This window comes from Homo sapiens, chromosome 9, assembly GCF_000001405.40.
Source record: "Homo sapiens chromosome 9, GRCh38.p14 Primary Assembly".
NCBI lineage: Eukaryota > Metazoa > Chordata > Mammalia > Primates > Hominidae > Homo > Homo sapiens.
The window spans coordinates 67,017,503-67,025,773 of NC_000009.12; the positions used below are offsets into that span (position 1 = coordinate 67,017,503).

An 8,271-nucleotide genomic window follows, 5' to 3' on the forward strand; every position below is an offset into this window, starting at 1 on the left:
TAATCTCTTCTTGTTCTTATTCCATGATCTCCTGCACCTTCTTTAAATCACTGATGATCATTTGTGTAGATGAGTTGTCTCCGTGTGTGTCTGACCTTTCTCCCAGTTGGTGAGTTCTGGAATCCAGGAAGCATTTTAGTAAAGTAATAGTTTTCAGTAATTTAGTTCACCTCTGTGCACCCTACAGCCGTTTCTCACATGTTGGGGCTGCCCAGTGAGCACTTGCTGAGGGAAACTGCAGGGAGACTTGCAGGTCAGGTTCACTGAGCCAGAAAGTGAAGCAAACTGAGAGGGCAAAGTGCAAGACACTGGCTGAAATATATGAACACACTGGGGAAACAAACATCTCCGGCCTCTGTGGAGGCGGAACACAGTCGCTGAGGTCTGTGATTCAGCAGCACCCACCTGGCAAAGCATGCTCAGCATCGGGCTTCGTTCTCCCATAGTGCTTTCATGGTGAGGAAGAAAAGCTATACATACTAACATGGGCCAGCTGGAAACCACAGCTATATAGTATTGCTTTTCAGCTTTTCAGCTGGAATTCCGAAAGAACTCTGAGGTCATGTAGAATGCGGCATACTGTTAGATGGGGCCTGGGTGGGCTTGGTGTTAGAGGACCTGCCCCAGGTCATGGTCTGTGGTGCGGAGGGAGGGTGCGATTTCCCATCCCCTTATCTCTTTGTCCCATCTTTTTTGCCCTGTACACACATGATCGTCCTCAATATCTTAAGTAGAATCTCCCATATAGCTAAAATTGATATTGGCATCTAAAGTATGCCTAACTTAGCTGAATATTTGGCCTTTGCCTTTAAAGGATCTGTAAGTTATTGGGATGAGACCAAGGAGAAAAAGGAAGACCATAGATAAGCATAATCTGCCATCCAATAATTTCATGACATGCTTATCCTTGGAATAAAGTTGGACTGTTGTCAGGAAACTGTCCCACCATTTTTGTTGCATGTAGAGACCTCCATTGCTATGGCCTCCATTGTAATGGGCTGTCATTGGGTTTGAAAAAAGTCTACATGTTGATTTTGATGGCAATAAAAGAGTCAGAGGTGCAAGCTGGAGCAAGGTGCTTGCCAAAGCTAGGCCTTTCCCCTCCCTCAGGAACTGGCAACAAGAGCAAGAGTTAGCTTCCTGAATGTTTGCATTTCAAAGAGACAGCTCTCAGGTCTTTGAGGAGACAATTCTGGGATGTAGATTTACACTTCAAAGGCAGAGAAAAGATTTATAATTGCAAGCTTTCTAAGGTTCTAAGAGGGGATTCGGGGCTCTACCTGCCCATCACCAGGTTTTGCCTGAAACAAACAGTAAATTCTCCTTGCAAGTGAGCTTTCTCAGGCAGTCATTTTAAGGAGGGCTGGGGTCATCTGTGGGACATCCTTGTGCTGCTGGAAGCCTCACTAGAGTTTGGTCCTCTCTTTGGGCAGGGGTTTGGAAGGAGTAGTTAAGTACTGCGAGGCCTGCGTTCTCATGACCAAAGTTCACAAATGCCCATTTCCTTCTTTCTTTCTTTTTCTTTTTTTTAATATTTAAAAATCTTTATGTGTCTATTAACACCTTTTGGAAATTTCCATCCCTTTCAAACTATGTTCCAGTCAAACAAAACAAAGTGTGGCCCAGCAGCCCTGGGGAGTCTCTGGGTGAAGGGGAGATGAGCACACAAATGTTGAGAGTTTGAGAACCCCTGGCCTTGATCTTTATGATAGTTGGTCAAGTGGTCATCAGTGAAATCCACAGGGATTCCCTGAGAGTGTATAGCTTTGGCATGATGGTTGCTGTAATCTGAAGGGGAAAGTAGAAGTTTACATGTGAGCACTGAAGAAGCTTGAGACTGTCTCGCTCTGTCACCCAGGCTGGATGCAGTGGGGCCTTCTGGGCTCACTGCAACCTCCACAATTCTCCTGCCTCAGCCTCCCCAGTAGCTGGGATTACAGGTGCCTGCCACCACATCTGGCTAATTATGTTTTTCTTTAAAATTAGTTTTATTTAAAAAGTACAAGTAGCATCTTACTTTTACTTTTGCAAAAAGTAAAGAAATGGTGTTTCGTTGCAAAAATTAAACAAATAAATTTTGGATTGTAGAAAATTCATTAAAAACTCAAATTTTAATTTATTTAAAATCTATCTGGTGCTGTAAGTGTGGCTATTGGCAGATCTCTTTTTATTTATTTTTATTGATTTATTCATATTATCAATAACTAATTTTTAAATTATTATTCGTGAGCCCTTTCCCATGACAGCTTCTTGGAAATTTCTTTCTCTCCCATTAATCTAGTATGATCTCTCAGGCATATTTATTTAAAGTTCTTCCTCTCACTATTCCCTTCTTCACCATCATGCCTAGGTTAGTTACAAAGAACTAATTTAATGACCCATTTATTCTGAAGAGAGGCACAAGAAGTGAAGCTTCTTTCTGAGGCCTGAAGGGATCTCACCTCCTTAAATCTCTGTTTCCCTACCCCTACTTCAGATATTATTGAGACATTATATTTTCTTCCTCTACCTTCAGAAACTTCAGTATCAACAGGTCCAGATCTGCCTAAGCCCTCAGATGAGTCTGCAAACAATCATTGTGTCAACATTTGACTCATGCCTTGCAGATGATCCCAGGCACCGCTGTCTTAACCTGTGAAAACCGCAAATTCTTGGCACAAACAACTTCTTCTGCACATCCCTCCTCCTCATACATACAGTAAGGGACTTGGCCAAATTCCAACACAGCCTCTATCAGCTCAGAGCCACGTCCCTACGATGCCCCATACCCCTCTAAAGCACCTGCCTGGGAACATTCAATTCTGCCAAAAGAATTTACTGTTTGTCCCACCCAAAACTTGACTATAGGCCCCTGACCTCCCATTTCTAAGAGCCTTAACTTTAGAAAACTTGCAATTATGGCCAGGCGTGGTGGCTCAAATCCCATCACTTTCGGAGGCTGAGGAAGGTGGATCTTGAGGTCAAGAGAGCAAGACCATCCTGGCCAACATGGTGAAACCCCGTCTCTACTAAAAATACAAAAATTAGTTGGGCGTGGTGGCACACACATGTAGTCCCAGCTACTTGGGAGGCTGAGGCAGGAGAATCACTTGAACTTGGGAAGCGGAGGTTGCAGTGAGCCGAGATCGCCCCACTACACTCTAGCTTGGTGACAGAGTGAGATTCCGTCTAGAAAAAAAAAAAAACACAAAAAAACACAGAAAACCTGTAGTTATAAACCTTTTCTCTGTCCCTTTAAATCTCCTATAACACAGAATGTCTTTCTCAAAGACTTAGGAGCTATCCCTTTGGACTATAAGGATCAAGAAGGATACAGGATTGTCTCCTGGTCTCTGTCTCTGTGTAGGAACCTAACTTTGATAAGCACTATTAGCAAACACAGATGGCCTCATCACATTGACCAACCTTTCCCCAAACATCAGTCCATGCTTTTCCTTTAGCACACTCCAACATTTGCAGAGCCTCTTGCTTTTTGTTTCAGTGGAGTTGAGGCTTTCTAACATACTATAAATTGATATGTCTACTTATTGATTAGAAGACAGAAATTAATCACTGGATTTCATTATCACGCTGACTTTTAGGATTAAAAGCAGCCTGTGGTTACAGATGCAACATCTTTACATTTCGAAGAAAAACAGGAGAGATTTGTCTTTGGCTCCTTTGGACCTCACTGAGTAATAGAAAAGAGAGAATTGAACAGGTTTGGATGATACAGCACAAGTCAGTTTAAAGTTCCAGGCAAAGAAAGCAACGGTTATTTTTCACTCCAGAGAGTGAATCATTCTTTGGGGCCACAAAAGAGAAGATTTGAAGAATAAGCAGGGACATCTAGAAGGTGGCTGAGTGTACTCCATCAGGTTAAATTAAGCTATTTTGTTGTTGTTGTTCAAATAGCTTCCCCACAGGGTACATTTCATATCTAAAGTGCTATTCCCTCTCCCATCATTTTATTACATACGCAATATCTGGCTGAGAACCTCTTTCTTGCCCTCCTTCTTACTGGTTAAGAACACAGACAGTCCTCTCTTTGCACAGCAGTGCAGGGCCATACAAATCACTATGTAAGCTAAAGATCTGTAAAGTGACCTAAATAATCCATGTGAAACATCGACTGTTCTGTGTCATTTAAAAATTTTGGCCAAAACATTAAAAATCTCTTACTGTTGGTTATAAATGTATAAGGAAATGAAACATAGTGAAATTAGTACTTTTTTTTTTTTGAGATGGAGTCTCGCTCTGTCGCCCAGAATGGAGTGCAGTGGCACGATCTCGGCTCACTGCAAGCTCCACTTCTTGGGTTCAAGCGATTCTTCTGCCTCAGCCTCCCAAGTAGTTGTGGCATGCCACCACACCAGGCTGATTTTTTCTATTTTTAGTACAGACAGGGTTTCACTGTGTTAGCCAGGATGATCTTGATCTCCTGACCTCATTATCCGCCTCAGCCTCCCAAAGTGCTGGGATTACAGGAGTGAGCCACCGTGCCTGGTTGGGAGTACTTCATTTTTACACTGTAATTTAAAACATTAAACAACAGCCAATTAAAGTGCTTTATTTATTTATAGACGTGTATCAAGCCCAGTTTGAACAGTGCTTGCCTCCCTCTTGTCGTATAGCTTATGATAAGGAGCCAGCAGTGTTTCTATGCCTTGGTGAACTGTCGTGCTGTTTTCGGAACAGCATCTAACATTGTCAACGTCATGCAATATCTACAAGAGTTCCTTTAATATGAAGTTTGTTGCTGTCTTTGCCGGCATCACTTCCTCTGGGGCTTCTTCATCCTTTTCATCACAGCTGCGTTCCTCATTTATGTCAGAACACTGCGTTGCGCCAAGTTCCTCTTGCTGCGTTTCCTGTGGTGAGCCAATTCTATGATTCCATTTACATTGTATTTGAATACACTTCCAGGGTTATCACATTTTTTATTTCTTTGCCGCACATCAATGGTTGTTGACCAGTTTTTTCTTCTGATTATTCATATTTATAAATGTCACATGGGTTTCTCACTGGGAGACAAGGAGTCAACACGATTGCAGACTCTGCTGTCTGTGTGCGAACTAGCAGATGCACAGTGAGCAGTCACTGACAGGCTTTGAAGGAGGTGAATTGTGTCCCCCTAAAAAGATATGTTTGAAATCCTAATCCCCAATATCTCAAAATAATATGATCTTATTTGGAAATAGCACATTTACAGAGGTTCTCAAGTTAAAATGAGGTCATTAGGGTGGGTCCTAATCCAATAGACTAACTGGTGTCTTATAATAAAGGAGAATTTGGATACAGCTCCAGACACACACACAAAAAAGACGATGTGAAGACACATAGAGAAAACAGAGTGATATATCTGTAGATCAGACAACACCAAGGATGGCTGGCAAACCCAAACAGGAAGGAGAGGGGAAGAAGGATTCTCCCCTAGAGCCAGCAGAGAGCGTGAACCTGCCAACACATTGATTTCTGACTTCTAGCCTCCACAACTACGAGTCAATACATTTCTGTTGTTTTAAGCAACCCGGCTTTTCATACTTTGTTGCAGCATCCCCACAAGATTAATACAGTCCCTAATCATGATGCTTGCCTGTTATTTACTCACATAGGCATTTGTGGAATTAAGAGCTGGGAATGAAGTTTGGATTTTATGCAGTTGCTCACAGTTAGCATATTGTGGTAACTGAAATTGTAACCACGTTTTTGGGAGACTAGTGCTATTTAACTAAACTATGTTAATTAAACCTGTGCATATTCAAATGTGCAAATCCAGGACTGTTTTTACTTAGTTCAGGTATTTAGAGGGAAAGAATGTTTGCCTCTTTTCAGGGCCTTAGAGCATGCCCTGTGCCAGCAGGCCCCTTCCACAGCTACTTAACATCTCTTCTCATCTTGCCAGCCACCTCTCAACTCAGATGACCAGCAAGGCCATCTTTGACTATCAAAATGAAGTAGCCCCTCTCCGCTTTTGACTACGTTCACTTGCTTTATTGTCTTTATAGCATTTTTATTTACTAAAATAACATTTTTTTCATTACTTGATTTTTTTCTTGATTCAGTACTTCTAAAAAATGCAGATTAAAATTCCAATGACAAACCAAGTTAACTAATGTTAAAAAGTGTGATACTGGCCAGGCACGGTGGCTCATGCCTGTAATCCCAGCATTATTGGAGGCTAAGGCAGGCAGATCACAAAGTCAGGAGATCGAGACCAACCTGGCTAACACGATGAAACCCCGTCTCTAACAAAAATACAAAATTTAGCCAGGCGTGGTGGTAGGCACCTGTGGTCCCAGCTACTTAGGAGGCTGAGGCAGGAGAATGGTGTGAAACCAGAAGGCGGAGCTTGCAGTGAGCTGAGATCACGCCACTGTACTCCAGCCTGGGTGACAGAGCGAGACTCTGTCTCAAAAAAAAAAAAAAAAAAAAAACTGTGATACTATTAGGTATTGTTGAGAATATAGATCTATCAGAACCTTTAACTTCTAATGGGAGCATAAATCGGAAAACAGTTCATTTTAACTTAGTGTACAAATCTTTTGACACAATGATTTGAATGTTGGGTTTATACCTTAGAGAAAATCTAACTCTTATGTCCAGGAGACTCATACAAGAAAAGGACATCTACTTTTTGTAACAGAAAAAAATGGATAATAACCCCAATCTAATAAAATGGAATGCTCATTATAGTATTATCCTGTGAAGGAATACTCTAAATCAATGCACAGAAAGTACAGATAAGAATATCATAAGAATGAATCTTACAAATTTAATATTGAACCAAAAAGCAATTTCAGAAAAATATATTCAGTGTAATCCCATTTGTTTAAACTGAAAAACATGTAAAACAATAATGTTCAATGTCCTTTACTAATGCATTTATTTTGGCAAAATTATAAAGACAAGAAATGGGACTAATTAACAGGACAGTGTTAAGGACTCTAAAAATATGGGTAGTTTTTGATTCTTAGGCAGGTAATGTGTACATCAGTGTTCATTTTATTATTTCTTACGCTGTCTTCATGACTTACACATATTTTGCTAGTTTTAAAACATAAGATGTGATAATAATCTAAACACACCAAAGGAAAAAAATGAATATGTTAAAAAAAAGACAGAGAATGAGCCCTGTCTGATAGAAAGCATAACAAAGCAAGTAGAAGAACTCTCACGAATGCTTGATCCAATAAAGCTAGGTTTGTGATCCACAACACTTCAGCATTTTAATGTGATTTTTGATGTTTGCTTTTTGCAACGGTGATTCTCAGTTGCCTCCCTCCTATGTCTTTACAAGCTGAAATCAAGTGAAGCTACTTCTGACTTTTTTTAAAACTAAAACACAACATGAAGGTCTGCGTATTCTTTCACATGTGAACGTATGTGGCACTTTTCCATGATGCAACAGCAGCGGGTCTCTAGCTAAGCTACAGCAGCAGCTCTAAGAGGCAGAGGACCCTGAAATGAGGCTGAAAGAAAGAATAGTCCATAACTGACATCAGGCAGGCTGCTGTTGTAAGCAAAGAAAGGAGGCTCACAGGGGCGCGGACTCAGGCCAGGTCAGGCTATTGTGGGAGAACACGGAGCACACGTGTCAGCTGGAAAGGGGCCGGCTCAGGAGACAAAATAGGCACGAGAGGAAACCGAAAAATTGACATACGTGACTATCCTTGTAGAAATGTATAAAGGTTTGGATTATTTTGCTTATCGAGTTATAATAAACTTATTCTAAAAATGTTTATGTAAAGTATTATGTACATTTTTGTTTTACCTTATAAAGATTATTTATATTTGAATTGTGTGGTTTTGGAATGACAGTATTTATAAAGTTGGTTTTGACATTCTCTACGATGCTTAATGAAGAAACTGACGTTCAAAGAGATTGGTTAATTCCCTGTGGCCAGTGGCTGAGCTGGGACAGAGTTCAGGTTTTCTGATTCTCAGCCTATGTTGTTTTCTCTTCATTTTAATGTGAACCTAAATAGGTATAGGATCTAGACAAATATGACATGTAGTGCCTTATTTCTTGTTTTCTCTGTAATGAATGCCAGGTGAGATAACTTTATTTACAAAAGCCCATCCAGTGGCTCAGGTTGCATCTGTAGTTGCCTTTGAATCATTTATTCAACGTCAGGATGGTAAAGTGAGGAGCTTCCCCAAACTGAAGCAGAGTGGCATTTGTCCCAGGTTGTAGAGTGTTCCCTGCCATAAATAAAGACATGCTGGTTCTTGTTATTTATACAGGCACTGGGGTTCCCATTAGCTCTTACATTTCATATGCTTAGAGCA

At 40.8% G+C, this 8,271-nt stretch overlaps 1 annotated feature.

Annotated features, from left to right (window-relative positions):
* Positions 1,395-1,964: an enhancer, noted in NCBI's record as "OCT4-NANOG hESC enhancer chr9:40673375-40673944 (GRCh37/hg19 assembly coordinates)". NCBI's record gives its function as "activates a minimal SCP1, AML or CMV promoter by ChIP-STARR-seq in primed H9 embryonic stem cells {active_cell/tissue: H9 hESC(primed)}" and the evidence as "EXISTENCE:reporter gene assay evidence [ECO:0000049][PMID:30033119]".